We start from the raw sequence: 15905 nt of genomic DNA on the forward strand, positions 1-15905 counted from the left end.
GTGTGTGCCACTACACTCGGCTAATTGTTTTGCATTTTTATTAGAGATGGGTTTTCACCATGTTGGCCAGGCTGGGCTCGAACTCCTGGCCTCAAGTGTTCCACCCGCCTCAGCTTCCCAAAGTGCTGGGATTACAGGTATGAGCCGCCGTGCCCAGCCTATCTCTTTTAATCTGAGAGTTCTTCAGCACCCCCCCACCCCCATCATTCATGACCTTGACATTCTATTTCTTCTATCTCTTCCTCCTCCTCCTCCTCTTCCTCTTTCTCCCCTTCCCCTTCCCCTTCTCCTTCTCCTTCTTCTTCTTTTTCTTTAGAAATGGGGTCTTGCCATGGTGCCCAGGGCAGCCTGGGTTCAGGCTATCCTCCCACATTGGCCTCCGCAGACTTGGATATTTTACAAGTGTTTAGACCACTTGTTTTGTAGAATGCCCCTCAGTTTGCGTTTGTCTGGGGAACCTGTATTTTTAACATCTCCGTTGACCTTGAAACCTTTGAGAGGATTGGGCAGCCCTGTGTAAGATACACATATTTACAACTCTTACCTTTCAAGATTCAAAGGACTTGAAAAAAAGAGCTTTGCGGGGCATCAGATTTAGTTCCTCAGAGGGGTTTTGAGTTGGGGACATTTTTTTTCAAGATCCGATTTGCTCAGAATTCAAATCACAGAGATTTCTTAATTGCCTGGGTTGCTAAGCTGGCTGAGTCTTAAGGGATCCTGCTGGGCTTTTAATTTCTCTGACTTTGATCCTGTGGAAGGCGGGAGGGTTTTGGCAAGGTCGAGGAGCAGGCTGGCAGGTGGGAAGTGGAGGGCAGACAGGGGTCAAGGCTGGGCGGGGATAAAAACAGCAACGTGGCTGGGTGCAGTGGCTGTTTGTAATCCCAGGTCTTTGGGAGACGGGCAGATCAGTAAAAATACAAAAATTAGCCGGGTGTGGTGGCAGGTACCTGTAATCCCAGGTACTTGGGAGGCTGAGGCATGAGAATCGCTTGAGCCCAGGAGGCAGAGGTTGCAGTGAGCCGAGATCACGCCATTGCACTTCAGCCTGGGTGACAGAGGGAAACTGTCTCAAAACAAAAACAAAAACAAACAACAACAACAAAAACCAAAAAACAAACAAACAAAAACCTCAAAAAACAGCAACGTGTCCTCCCTGCACAATAAGTGCCAGCAATATGCTGGGCACTCTTGGCTGATCTGTCCCCCAGGACTCTCACCATTCTATTATCATTAGCTCCATTTCACAGATGAGGCGACTGAGGTTCAGAGAGGTGACATCACTTATCCCTTATTGCTTAGTTAGGAAGTGGCTGAGCTGGGATTTTGTTGTTTTTTGAGACAGGATCTCACTCTGTCACCCAGGTTGGAGTGCAGTGGTGCCAACATGGCTCACTGCAGCCTGGAACTCCTGGGCTCAGGTGATACTCTCACCTCAGCCTCCAGAGCAACTGTGACTACAGGTATGCGCCACCATACCCAGCTTATTTATTTATTTTTGGGACAGAGTCTCACTCTGTCGCCCAAGTTGGAGTGCAATGGAGTCATCTCAGTTCACTACAGCCTTGACCTCCTGGGCACAGGTGATCCTCCTGCCTCAGCCTCCCAAGTAGCTGGGACGACCCGCATGCATCACCAAGTCTGGCTAATTTTAAATTTTTTCTTGGTCAAGGCTGGTTTTGAACTTCTGGGCTCAAACAATCCTCTCATCTTGAACTCCAAAGTGTTGGGATTACAGGCATGAGCCACCACACCCAGCCTTGAGCTGGGATTTGAACCTAAGCCTGTCTGACTGCAAACAGGCTTTCACTGTGTTTGCTTAACCATTGTGGCATCCCTCTCACCAGGGATCAAATAAGGTCCAGAAAGTTCTGGAAGGAACCCAATTTCATGAATGAGAAGCACGCAATTTGACCCAAACACCAGCTTAACTGAGGCTGTGATCTGGCTGTGTTGGGGTGCGCCCCATCTGTTAGGTGGTCTTTAGACCTCACCATCTGCAGCTGAGTACATGCTGGAGCCAGATGGCTTGAGTTCGAATTGTGGCTCTGCCATTAACTAGCAGTGTGACCCTGGGCAGTCCTGGGTGTCTTCTGGTGGCCTCCCCAGATCCCTTCCCTGCCCCTTCCACTTTCTGGGCACCTGGGAGTTTGCCCTCTGCTTTTGGGTGGATTTGGCCAATTGGGAACCTGGACGGAATAGAGGGCAAGAGGGGAGGGGGCTCACGATGTTCATTTTCCCAGCTCCTTCTGGTGGGGACACCATACATTCTTCCACTGAAGGCCACGGTTTCAATCAGGCCTCTCTCCCAGCCAGGACAGCCACTGGGTCTGGTTTTGGAAGCCTCCTCTTCTAAAACACTCCCTCCTGTCTCCTTTAGGGCTGCAGTGCTAACAGCTCCCTGCTGTTTTTTTGTTTTGTTTTGTTTTGTTTTGAGATGGATCTCACTCTGTACCCCCAGGCTGGAGTGCAATGGTGTGATATCTCGGCTCACTGCAACCTCTGCCTCCTGGATACAGGCGATTCTCCTGCCTCAGCCTCCTGAGTAGCTGGGACTACAGGTACCTGCCACCATGCTTGGCTAACTTTTGTATTTTTAGTAGAGACATATCACCATGTTGGCCAGGCTGGCCTTCAACTCCTGACCTCAAGTGATCCGCCTGCCTCGGCCTCCCAAAGTGCTGGGATTACAGGCGTGAGCCACCGTGCTTGGCCCCAGTAGCTACTTTTATTGAGTGCTTACTATGAGCTGAGATTTGTGCTATACCCTTTGTATTACTCAATTCCTCCTCACAATCCTACAAGGTAGGTACAGTCACCATCCTGTTTTACAGATGAGGAAACTGAGGTTCAGGCAACTCAAGCAACTTGTTCAAGGTTACACAGCCGAGAAAACATTGAGACCCTAGGCTCAGGCTGTAGCCACTACCCTGCCTCTGCAGCATGAAGGCAAATATGTGGTCTGAATGGGAATTCATGATACAAGAGGGCAGTATTGTGTCAGCCTGGCCCTGGTTTTGGGACCTGAAACGTTTGGGGCATTTTTGGGTGGGTGGTAGGTGACAGTGAGATGTTTTGCTCTGACACATGCCCAGGGTCACCTGGTCCAATTCCTGCTCAGCTACTTCCAAGCCTTGTCACTCTGGCAAGTTCCCTAACCGCTCTGTGCCTTAACTTATCCTTCTGTAAGATGGGGATAACCACATTACCTGCCTCAGAGGTAATGTTGTGAGGGTTAAATGAATGAATGTATTAAAGAGCTCAGAGCAGCATCTGGTAAATATTTCATTACATTAATGTTAGCTATCATCATCATCATCATTGTCATCTCACCTGTTGGACAACCCATGTGTGTGTGACTGAGGAAATGGAGCATCTTTGGCGAATTCCCTCCTTCCCTTGCTGCCTGGATCTCATCTGGTGCAACTGAGCTGGTCTCTGCTGAATTATTTTACTTCTTTGTCCTCTGCAGCCAAATGGAGACCTCTCCCTGACTCTGCCTGGCCTTCAGACACTTTCAGAAGGCGGTTAACACCATCTGGCCTTGAGAATTCTGAGTCTTTATATTTCAGGATTGAGCTGAGACCTTTGTGAAACATCATCTCTGGGAGGGCCAGCCTGGGCCCAGCTCACAGACATAAGCTGTCCTCATATCCCAACTTCTCATTGACTCACACACGCACTCAGTGCTTTATTGAGCACCTAGTGTGTGTCAGTTGCTGGGCAAGGTGCCAGGGCTGTACTGTAGCAAGGAAAACAGGAGACAAGGTCCCTGCCATCATGAAGCTCATGTGCTACAGGGAGTGACAGACAGCAGGTAAGTAAACAATAACAAATGAATATATAATAGCAGAGAAAAATAACAGCAATGGAAACAAGCAAAGCAGGGGAAGAGGGTTAGACAGTGACTGGGATGGGGAGGTGGATGGTATGTGAGTATTTTAAACTCAAGGAGGTGCTTCTTCCTGGGATGCTCTGGGATATTCTGGGATACCTGAGATAGCCAGGTAAAATCCACTAGGAATTCGTTGCTGACACTGAGGCAGGAGAATAGCGTCTGCAGGCAGGGAAACTAAGGTCAGTTCATGCTGACTTCCTAGAACTAAATCAAAAGGAAAGTCCCAACTTTCCAAGCCCAAGTAACAAAAGGACCAGAGGAACAAAGGACCAGAGGCTGGACTGTGCCCAGCCTGTTCTTCCTACAATCTTTATGCAGATATAGATGAATGTGAAAACAAGAGAGTTTTAAAAAGTCTGAAAGGAGCTAGTTAGAATGTCAATAGAGGTTGCTCACAGAACTGTAAGAGGCAGAGGAGATAGAGGGTGGAACTTCGTTTCTGAGCCTGGCTGCCTGGGTTCATATCCTAGCCTTGCCACTTGCTAGCTGTGAGAAGAGGGCAAATCACTTCACCTATGTATGCCTCAGTTTCCTCATCTGTAAAATGGTGCAATAATGACATGCAGGTATGAGATTATCTTCCTATTTATAAAGCACTTCCAACAGATCTAGTACGTAATGAATCCAATCTAAGTGTTTTTTTCTAACTGTGTTGAAACAAGTGGGCATGAAAAGATTCCTTTTCCACCCTGAGCTACAGATTGAGAAGTTTTTGGGGCTGGGTTCTGCTACCTGTATTAAATATATTTTTTTAAATTAAAAACCTTTTGTTATAGAAAATGTTGAACATACATGAAAGTAGAGAGAATGTTACCTTTTTTTCTAAATTGAGATGGAGTCTCGCTCTGTCGCCCAGGCTGCAGTGCAGTGGCGCGATCTCGGCTCACTCCAAGCTCCGCCTCCCAGGTTCACGCCATTCTCCTGCCTCAGCCTCCCGAGTAGCTGGGACTACAGGCGCCCGCCACCACACCTGGCTAACTTTTGTTTTTGTATTTTTAGTAGAGACGGGGTTTCACCGTGTTAGCCAGGGTGGTCTCGATCTCCCGACCTTGTGATCCACCCGCCTCGGCCTCCCAAAGTGCTGGGATGAGCCACCCACTACAGGCGCCCACCACCACGCCCGGCTAATTCTTTGTATTTTTAGTAGAGATGGGGTTTCACAGTGTTAGCAAGGATGGTCTAGATCTCCTGACCTCATGATCTGCCCGCCTTGGCCTCCCAAAGTGCTGGGATTACAGGCGTGAGCCACCGCGCCCGGCCAGGTGTTTGTTTTTATCCTCCTATTTTTTCCATTTCTAGCACTTTCCATATCTGTAAAATAGGATTAATAATAGTACCTATCTCATAGGGTTATTGTGAGAATTAAATGAATTAATGCTTATAAAATGCTTATAAAATGTTAAAAAACACGGCCTCCCAAAGTGCTGGCATGAGCCACCATGCCCGGCCACAATTTTTTATTTTGTTTCTTTTCTTTTAAGACAGAGTCTTGCTCTGTCGCCCAGGCTGGAGTACAGTGGCACCATCTCAGCTCACTGCAACCTCTGCCTCCTAGATTCAAGTGATCCTCCTGTCTCAGCCTCCCGAGTAGCTGGGACTGCAGGCATGTGCCACCATGCTCCACTAATTTTTTGTATTTTTAGTAGAGATGGGGTTTAACCATGTTGGCCAGGCTGGTCTTGAACTCCTGACCTCAAGTGCTCCATCTGCCTTGGCCTTCCAAAGTGCTGGGATTACAGGCATGAGCCACTGCACCTGGCCTATTTTTTTATTTTCTTGAGACATGGTCTCCCTCTTTTACCTAGGCTGGAGTGCAGTGGCACGATCATGGCTCAGTCACCTCAAACACCTGGGCTCATGGGATCCTCCCACCTCAGCCACCTGAGTAGCTCAGACTATGGGTGTGCACTACTGCACCCAGCTAATTTTCTAATTTCTTTTGTAGAGACGGGGTCTTGCTATGTTGCCAGGGCTGTTCTTGAATTCCTAGGCTCAAGAGATCCTCTTGCCTCAGCTTCCCAAACTGCTGGAATTATAGGCATGAGCCACCTTCCTTGGCTCAGAATATTATAATTAACCTTTGTACACCCATTGTTCATGTCAATGATTAGCAACTCATGGTGACACCTGCATTTTTAACAAGGCCCTGGTGCACACTACATCTTGAGAAACCCCCAGTGGAATTCCAGGACGCTCCTGAGGCTGTTACTGGAAAGGGGTCCCGATCCAGACTCCAAGAGAGGGTTCTTGGATCTCTCGGAAGAAAGAAGTCGAGTGAGTCCATAGAGTAAAGTGAAAGCAAGTTTATTAGGAAAGTAAGGGATAAAAGAATGGCTACTCCATAGACAGAGCAGCCCTGAGGGCTGTTAGTGGCCCTATTTTTATGGTTATTTCTTGATGATATGCTAAACAAGGGGTGGATTATTCATGCCTCCCCTTTTTAGATCATATACGGTAACTTCCTGACATTGTCATGGCATTTATAAACTGTCATGATGCTGGTGGGAGCGTAGCAGTGAGGACGACCAGAGGTCAAGTCTTGTTGCCATCTTGGTTTTGGTGGGTTTTAGCCGGCTTCTTTATTGCAAACTGTTTTATCAGCCAGGTCTTTATGACCTGTATCTGCCTACCTCCTATCTCATCCTGTGACTTAGAATACCTTAACCATCTAGGAATGCAGCCCGGTAGGTCTCAGCCTCATTTTACTCAGCCCCTATTCAAGATGGAGTTGCTCTGGTTCACATCCCTCTCACAAGGCCTGTTGGATACATGTTAGTTTGTTGGGATTTTGCTAGACAAATTGCTAATCTTGAAATCAGAAAAGATGATAACAAAAAACTTTTTTTCTCTCCCAAGAAAAATTTTGTCTGCTCCTAAGAAGAGGATTTTCTGTCCAAGTTCAGTGGACGAGAGCACCAGACACCCCCTGGAAAGACTCAAGATTCCAGCCCTGTCCTGTGGTCCCTTCAACTGACAGCAACCACTCACTCCCCAGCCCCACTTACTATCAAGGGAGCCCAGGGCCTGCTTCACCCAGGCCCTGGGAACAAGATTTGAGAAGCAAATGAATTGTGTGAGTTAATTCAAGGGCCACCTTTGGCTCCCTTAGCAGCACAAATTGTCCCTGAGGACATTGACTCGATTCTTGGATACAAAGGGAGATACGAATTTACCTTTGACTGCTCTCTGGGCATTAAAGCTGGTCTTGAATGTTTTCTCTGGGCGGTTCCCTGTCATTAGGGAGGTGCCCACATTTACCAAATCAACGAGCCCGATTTCACCTGGTCACACCCTTCCTTGGCACAGAAAACAGTGACTTCTTTTTCCTCCTGCTAATTTGCTGTCAAGATGTTCTACTAATCATCATCATAATTACTAATATTCACTGCCCACTTAGTAAGCTCTTTATACCCATTAACTCAATTCATTCTTGCAACGACCTTGTGAGGTGAAACTATTGTTACCCACAGATCACAGAAGAGGACACCGAGGCCTACAGAACTGTGGCAAAGACTGCTCCATGTTCCCAACATCCATTTTTTTCCCTCTTTCAAAGTAAAAGAAATCCAATTTTACTAGGGAACATGGCTGTCCAGAATTCCCAGCCTCCTTTGTGGGTAAGTGTGGCCATGGGACTCTGGTATGGGCTAAGGATGTCGGGGGAAGAGTCCCGCAGTGGTTCTGAAACACTCTCTCTAAGAGGTCACTGCTTCTTCATCCCTTCTTTTATTCTGGCATCTGGAACTTGAAGGCCACCATCTTGAACTGCGACGTAGGAGTGCCCTGAATGGAGGTGCATCTGGCTGGGAGGATACCATTGACCACCATAACCAGGCCTAGTTAAGAAAGAAATAAGCTTCTTCCTTCTTTATTCTTCCTTTTTCCTCCTCCTCCTCCTCCTTCTTCTTCTCCTTCTACTTCTCCTTCTTCTTCTTCTCCCCGTTCCCCTCCCCTTCCCTTTCCCCCTCCTTCCCCCTCCCTCCTCCTCTCCCCCTCCTCTTCTTCTTTCTTCTTCTCCCTCTCCTCTCCCCTTCCTTTCCCCCTCTCCCTCCCTCCCCCTCCTCCTCCCCTCTCCCCAGTCCCCTCCTTCTTCTTCTTCTTCCTCTTTCTTCTTCTTCCCTCTCTCCCCTCCCCTTCCCTTTCCCCCTCCCCTTCCCTCCCCCTGTCCCTCCCCCTCACCCCCTCCTTCTCTCCCCTCTCCCTTTATCCTCCTTCCCCTCCTCCTCCTCCTTCTTCGTCTTCTTCCCCTTTCTTCTTCTTCTCCCTCTCCCTCTCCCCCTCCCCTTCCCTCTCTCCATCCCCTTCCCTCTCCCCCTCCCCTTCCCTCTCCCCCTCCCCTCTCCCCTCCCTCTTCCCTCCCTCTCTAGCTCCCCTTTTTCCTCTCCCCTTCCCTTTCTCCTTCTCCCCCTCCCCCTCCACCTTCTTCTTTCTTCTTCTTCTCCTTCTCCTTCTCCTTCTTCCTCTTCTTCTTTTTCGGTAGAGATGAGTTCTCACTGTGTTGCCCAGGCTGGTCTTGAACTCCTGGACTCAAGGGATCCTCCTGCCTTGGCCTCCCAATGTGCTAGGATTACAGGCGTGGGCCACTGTGCCCAGCCTCTTCTTTCTTCTCAAAGCTTTACATTTTTATTTATTGAGTCAAACCTCAATACCAAACATGGTGACAGAATTGGGACTTGAATCTACATCTGTGTGACTCTTAACTAACCTATCTGCAATTGTAGGGGTATATTGTATAACCCTGTAGGATTCAGAAAACCCTTGTCCAAGGCGTTATCTCACATGGTCTCAGATATCAATTCACTTTTGAGTAAGGAGTCTGTTTTTTTTGTTTTTGTTTTTTTGAGACAGAGTTTGCTCTGCTGCCAGGCTGGAGTGCAGTGGCGCAATCTTGGCCCTCCACCTCCTGGGCTCAAGTGATTCTCCTGCTTCAGCCTCCCGAGTAGCTGGGATTACAGGTGTGTGCCACCAAGCCCGGCTAATTTTTGTATATTTAGTAGAGACTGGGTTTCACCATGTTGGCCAGTCTGGTCTCGAACTCCTGGGCTCAAGCGATCCGCCCTCCTTGGCCTCCCAAAGTGCTGGGATTACAAGCATGAGCCACCACGCCTGGCCAGAAGTGTGTACTCTAAATGGGTGAATTGCAATGTATGGGAATTATATGCCAATAAAGCTGTTAAAAAAAAATAGTGCTGAGGTTGAGAAGCCCAGAACTAGGAGGTATTAATTTGAGAGAAGAAACTTGGGGGATCAAGTGAGGGGACAGGTTAGGCAGGCTAAGGAGTTTTATCTTTGTCACCACTGATGGGTGACAAGACTGGTGGACTCACCCCTGGAGATGCATTCATATTTCAAGGTTGTTTGGGCACCTACCTTGTGCTGGGCATTTTCATGTATAGCATTCTGTATCATCCTCACGATGAATCTGCAGTTAGGTCTGGCCAGCTCATTGTGGAGATGAGTAGCTGAGGCTCAGAGAGGTTTGGCGACTTGACCAAAGCTGCACAGCTGGGGTCTGAACATGTTTGGACCCTGTGGCTTTCTATGCTGCGCCCTGACTCTCACTGAGGGCTGTGGACCAGCTGGTGGCAGGGGGGTCACCTTGCCTCTGCTCTCTCCTGTTACAGCCCTGGTTGCAGCTTGAGTCCTGGAAATGCCCCCAGGAGACCCTTCTCAGAGTGCTGATGTCATCCCTGGGCTGGGGTGCAGCTGGCATCTGGATGGGGGTTGGTTGCTTAGCAATGTAGATGCAGATTCTGCCCTGAGCAGAGGGAACCATCTTATAGTCTTGGCTGCGGGAACTTCAAGGAGAACAGCCCCAGGAGGGCCTTGGGAACCTGGGGCCTGTTCTGAGTTGGGAGGACTGGAAACAGCTTTGTCCCTGGGCTGGACTGGACAGGGAGAGCCCTCCTTAAGGGGGTGATTGAGCTTTAGAGGACAGAAAAGGAGAACCATGAGGCCTGGGTTGATCATAGTGATATTGTTATTATAACCACAGCTACCTTTCGTGAGCACCACCTGCACTATGCCAGGTACTGCGCTAACGTGCCTTAATTCCATCATCCTCCCTGAGCCCCTTGCTATAGGTTACTATTAGCATCCCCTTTGCAAAGAAGGAAGCCAGGGCTTATACGGGTTAATTGACTTGCCTGTAGCCAGAAAGTGGAGCACCTGGGACCTGAACCCCAGCTTCTCTAACACCCTGGATCACCTCACATTGCAGCTCTGACTGGGCACCTGGTGGAGAGACTTCACCATGTGTCTCCAAGGTCCTGTGTGGTCTGTTCTACTCTCTCTGTGGCTCTCCTTTGCCAGCTCCAGACATCATGTCCTTGCTTCATTTCTGGAAACACTCAGACCTCCTTCCAGCTACGGGGCCTTTGCACTTGCTGGTTCGTCTGCTCAGGGTGCTCTTTCATCCCTCTAGTCACGTGGTTTGCACTGACTCATCCTGGTCTCCAATGCAACATCCTTTCATTCATTCATCCATTGATCCAAACATAGTTATTGGCCGGCCATTGTGGCTCAGGTCTGTAATCTTAGCACTTTCGATGGCCGAGGTGGGTGGATCACCTGAGGTCAGGAGTTCAAGACTAGCCTGGCCAACATGGTGAAACCCCATCTCTACTAAAAATATGAAAATTAGCCAGGTGTGGTGGCACGTGTCTGTAATCCCAGCTACTTGGGTGGCTGAGGTGCAAGAATCACTTGAACCCGTGAGACAGAAGTTGCAGTGAGCCGAGTTCTCGCCACTGCACTCCAGCCTGGGTGACAGAGCAAGACTCTGTCTCAGAAAACAAAAACCAAAAAACCTCACATAGTTATGGTGCCTCCCAATGCCAGGTAAACATTAGTAAATAAAATATACACGATCCCAGACCTCTTGGAGCTTACACACTGGTGCCAGAGGCAGACAATGAATGATAAATGAATGGACAAGCCAATAAAGACACAGTTGCAAACTCTCTCTCCTCCTTGGAAACATTCCCTGACTCCCCTGCCCTTTGGCAAGAATAGATCCGGTCTCCCTTTCAGATACACTCATGGCCTTTCACAGTGGTTAGGCCAACAATAACTAATCACTTAATTGTGTAATTATTTAATGCTGGTCTGCCCTCTTAGGCTGTGGGTTCTGTGAGGCCAGGGACTGTGAGGCCATCTGGGACTTGCTCACAGGTTTGTTCACAGCACCCACCATAGCTGCTCCTTCAACACCGTTTAACAATAATAACAAACACTTACACAGCACTTGTGAAGCACCAGGTGCTGTTCGAAGTGCTACCTGTGCAGTAAGTTATTAAATCTTCTCAACAATTCTATAAGGTCAGACTATTTTTTTTTGTTAGACAGAGAATGAATAACTATTCTTATTCATATTTTACAGATGAGGAAACTGAGGCACAGAGAGTTGGCTCACTGCAACCTCTGCCTCCCAGGTTCAAGCGATTCTTTTGCCTTAGCCTCCCGAGTAGCTGGGACTACAGGCATCTGCCACCACACCCAACTAATTTTTGTATTTTTAGTAGAGACGGGGTTTCACCATGTTGGCCAGGTTGGTCTCAAACTCCTGACCTCAGGTGGTCACCTGCTGTGGTCTCCCAAAGTGCTAGGATTACAGGCATGAGCCACTATGCCTGGCTGGTGCTAGACCTGAGCTCATGGCTCCAGGGCCCATGTTTTCAATCAGTAGTCCCTGAATGAAAGTAAGAAAGGAAGGAAGGAAGAAAGAGAGGAAGGAGGTAGGGAAGGAGGGAGGGAAGGAAGGAAGGAGGGAGGGAAGGAAGGAAGGAGGGAAGGAAGGAAGAAAGGAAGGAAGGAGGGAGGGAGGAAAGAAGGAAGGGAGGGAGGGAAGAAAGGAAAGAAGGAAGGACGGAAGGGAGGGAGGGAAGAAAGGAAGGAAGAAAGGGAGGGAAGGAAGAAAGGGAGGAAGGAGGGAAGGAAGAAACAGAGGAAGAGGGAAGGAAGGAAGGAAGGGAAGGAGGGAGGGAGGGACGGAGGGAGGGAATGGAAGGAAGGAAGAAAGGAAAGAAGGATGGAAGGGAGGGAGGGAAGGAAGGAAGGAAGGAAGGAGGGAAGGAAGGAAGAAAGGAAGGAAAGAAGGAAGGAAGGAAAGAAGTGAGGGAAATGAAGGAAGGGAAGGGAACTAGGTGCGGTAGCCCATCAAGTGGTCATGCCTGTAGCCAGCCAGGTTTGGAGGGAAGTTGTCATCTTTTTCAGAGCTGGGAGCCCAGCCTCCTGGGTCCCTGCCTTCCCTCCTGCTGTGTGGCAACCAGGGTTATACAACAGCTTGGGGAAACTTTTAATAATAGAACGTGCCCACCAGCTTGCTTTGGGCCACTGCAAAGCAGGGAGGGAGCCAGGAGGGAGCCAGGTTTGAATGTGAGAGGGGCCTTTGGGATGGTCTTTGCAACTTCTGCTTCTCAACTGGGAAAGCCAGGATCTCGAAAATCTGATCTCATAGCTCCTGAATCCAGCCCAGAGTTCTAGAAAGTACTCGGCTACTCCGTGCCAGTATTCCAGAGTGCATTCTCTCAAATCTCTGAGCCAATGGGCTTTCTGGGGCCTTCTACGTTGTCATACCAAGGAAAGATTCTGGCCAGAGAGCCCCAGAGAACAGTTTTATGAAAGGCTGGGGTCAGAGCACGGAACCAATCCTGTTTTATACAAAAGAAGCCTGGTGATGTTGAGTATGTGCCATGTGCCAGGCAGTATGCTAAGAATTCTACATAGACCCACACCTTCAACAGCCCTTCTTGTCTCTGTTGGACATAATTTTGTTCCCTCTCTTGCTAGTTGTGACCTTAGGCAAGTCCCTTCATTTTTCTAAACTTCCATTTCTGTTTGACATCAGAAAGATGAGGGGACTTGGCCAAAGTCACAGAGCTAGTAAGAAGGAAAGCCCAATGTGTCCATTCACAAACATTTCCTTAATGTATGAACACCTATTACTATTTGGGGCAGCGAGTGGGAAGAGCTGATGAAGATTCTAATAGAACTCGTGGTTTGTCTTGACAGATAACCTGGATCACTTAGTAATGGCTGCCTGGTGGGTTGCATCCTGGATCTAAGTGGAAAGAGTGCCGGGACTGTTTAGTAATGTCTGCCGTGGGATCAGCCATGGGGAACTAAATATTTGCCATGCCTGGAATTGGAAATACCAGAGGGAAAAGAGGGAGGGAGAGACAACAACTTACAGTTCAAGGAAAACTCTTTGGTGATGGCAGAGGTGCTCTGAGAGGGAAGGGATGGACTGTGGCTGTGAAGATGTGTGTGGTGTTGCATCCACCCAAACTGAAGATCTCTGGAGATAGAACAGCAGGCTAGAGAGTGCACAGGCCCTGGATTAAATAAAATTTTTGATTTTTTGTTTGTTTCTTTTTCTTTTCTTTTCTTTCTTTTTTTTTTTTTTTTAAGACAGAGTCTCACTCTGTCACCCAGGCTGGAGTGCAGTGGTGTGATATCAGCTCACTGCAGCCTCCACGCCCCAGGTCCAAGCAATTCTCCTGTCTCAGCCTCCCGAGTAGCTGGGATTACAGGCATGTGCCACTATGCTGGGCTAATTTTTGTATTTTTAGCAGAGACAGGGTTTTACCATGTTGGCCAGGCTGGTCTTGAACACCTGACCTCAAGTGATCTGCCTGCCTTGGCCTCCCAAAATGCTGGGATTACAGGCATGAGCCACCACACCCGGCCTGTTTTTTTGTCTTTAGAGACAGGGTCTTACTCTGTCACCCAAGCTGGAGTGCAGTGTCAGTGATCATGGTTCACTGCAGCCTCAATTTCCTGGGCTCAAGTGATTCTCCCACCTCAGCCTCCTGAATAGCTGGGACCACAGGTGTGTGCCACCACACCCAGCTAATTTTTAAAATTTTTTGTAGAGATGGGGTCTCACTATGTTTCCCAGGCTGGTCTTGAACTCCTGGGCTCAAGCAATCCTCCCACCTCGACATCCCAAAGTGCTGGGATTACAGGCATAAGCCATCCTTGCCCAGCGTGAAAGAAATTTTGTATTCAAATTCTGGCTCAGTCATTTATTTGACCTGTGACCTGGGGCATATCATGTGACCTCTCTGAACCTCAGTTTCCTCTTTTGTAAAATGAGGAGAAGGCTATTGGGATGATTGCTGAGTGCCTACTCTTGACATGTGGAGCCCTGACTGAGGGAGGCAGTGTTGTCAGCACCACCGCCTTACAGGACCCTGGGGATGGCGTTCACTGTATTGTCTGTGTAAGTGGCGCCCCCTGGTGCACCAACATGAATGGCGTTTCCTGGAATTGTGCAACATGGCAGACTGGATCATGAAACAGAGGCCGGGAGAGGTTAAACCACTTGCCCGAGTCACATCGCAGAGGTGGGATTTGAGATCAGGTCTGTCTGCCTCCACCGCCCAAGCCTATAACCAGCATGCCCTCCTGCCTACTACCAATTTACCACATCTGCAACAGTTCAGCATCCGTGACTGCTTGAATGTCGGGAGACCGCTTCAGCTGTGTAACCTCCTCACGTGGCTCTTCCCACAAGAGTGTGCAACAAATGAGCTCACGCCTGCAAAAATCTCTAGGACACTCCCTTGAGTGTGGTGGCCACTCGGGCAGGGAGGGCTGAGCGTAAAAATCAGAACAGTGAGGAGGAGGCTTGCTGGGAGATTGCCCCCACTTGAAGTTAAGTGTGAGAGGGGAAATCCTAAGAGAGAGAGGTGACAGCCCTCCCCGGAGCATTTTCTTTCTTTCTTTCTTTTTTAAACTTTTTAAATTAAAAATAATTTTTTTTAAGACGAAGTCTCATTCTGTCGCCCAGGCTAGAGTGCAGTTAGCAGGATCTCAGCTCACTGCAACCTCCACCTCTCTGGTTCAAGCGATTCTCCTGCCTCAGCCTTCAGAGTAGCTGGGACTACAGGTGCATGCCACCATGCCCAGCTAATTTTTGTATTTTTAGTAGAGACGGGGTTTCACCATGTTGGCCAGGCTGGTCTCGAACTCCTGACCTCAAGTGATCCACCCACCTCAGCCTCCCAAAGTGTTGGGATTACAGGTGTGAACCACCACGCTGGCCCCCAGGGCATTTTCAATAAAAGGGAAAAGCCCAGGAGGCCTTGGCCCAGAGGCAAAGAAGTAAAGGGAGCCGGGCAAACAATGTAGGGAGTGGTGGGAGGCGTGCTCAGCTCCCAAAAGGACTGCTGGGTCTCCAGATGTATCAGTTAGGGTCCCCTGGAGACAGTCACATGGGAGTGACAAGCGAGTGTGTGGGCAGGATGGGGAGAGCCAGCAGGGATGGCGAAGTGCCTGGGACTGGCAAGTGCAGGGGAAAGACTGTTCTGGAGTCTGAGATCAGAAGCTGTGAGAGAGGGGCTCCCTGATAGGAGCTCTCAATAGAGGAATAGCTACCTGCATCTGACAGCGCGGGGCAGCCTCCACAACCTCATGGACTGAGCGCCGGGAGATGGAATGACCCTCCAGAGGGAAATTGATGTGCTCTTACAAGAAGGCGGAAAAAGACAACAGCGGGTCCTTACACAGCCCTGAACAGGATAATTTTTCTTTTCTTTTCTTTTCTTTCCTTTTCCTTTTCCTTTTTTCTTTTCTTTTCTTTTCTTTTCTTTTCTTTTTTCTTTTCTTTTCTTTTCTTTTCTTTTCTTTTCTTTTCTTTCTTTCTTTCTTTCTTTCTTTCTTTCTTTCTTTCTCTTTCTTTCTTTCTTTTTTTTCTTTCTTTCTCTCTCTCTCTCTTTCTTTCTTTCTTTTTTTGAGACGGAGTCTTGTTCTGTCGCCCAGGCTGGAGTGCAATGGCATGATCTTGGCTAACTGCAACCTCCGCCTCCCGGGTTCAAGTGATTCTCCTGTCTCAGCCTTCCGAGTAGCTGGGACTACAGGTGCCCACCATGCCTGGCTAATTTTTGTGTTTTGTTTTGTTTTGTTTTTTGAGATGGAGTCTCACTCTGTTGCCCAGGCTGAAGTGCAGTGGCACGGTCTCTGCTCACTGCAACCTCCGCCTCCCAGGTTCAAGCAATTCTCCTGC

The 15905-nt window shown here is 48.7% G+C and overlaps 3 annotated features.

Annotated features, from left to right (window-relative positions):
- Nucleotides 891-1390: an enhancer, noted in NCBI's record as "NANOG-H3K4me1 hESC enhancer chr12:111251419-111251918 (GRCh37/hg19 assembly coordinates)". NCBI's record gives its function as "activates a minimal SCP1, AML or CMV promoter by ChIP-STARR-seq in primed H9 embryonic stem cells {active_cell/tissue: H9 hESC(primed)}" and the evidence as "EXISTENCE:reporter gene assay evidence [ECO:0000049][PMID:30033119]".
- Nucleotides 13965-14014: a silencer, noted in NCBI's record as "silent region_4864". NCBI's record gives its function as "represses an Ori minimal core promoter by ATAC-STARR-seq in GM12878 lymphoblastoid cells {active_cell/tissue: GM12878}" and the evidence as "EXISTENCE:reporter gene assay evidence [ECO:0000049][PMID:35858748]".
- Nucleotides 14195-14264: an enhancer, noted in NCBI's record as "active region_7028". NCBI's record gives its function as "activates an Ori minimal core promoter by ATAC-STARR-seq in GM12878 lymphoblastoid cells {active_cell/tissue: GM12878}" and the evidence as "EXISTENCE:reporter gene assay evidence [ECO:0000049][PMID:35858748]".

This window comes from Homo sapiens, chromosome 12 (genome assembly GCF_000001405.40).
Source record: "Homo sapiens chromosome 12, GRCh38.p14 Primary Assembly".
In the NCBI taxonomy this organism is placed as follows: Eukaryota; Metazoa; Chordata; class Mammalia; order Primates; family Hominidae; genus Homo; species Homo sapiens.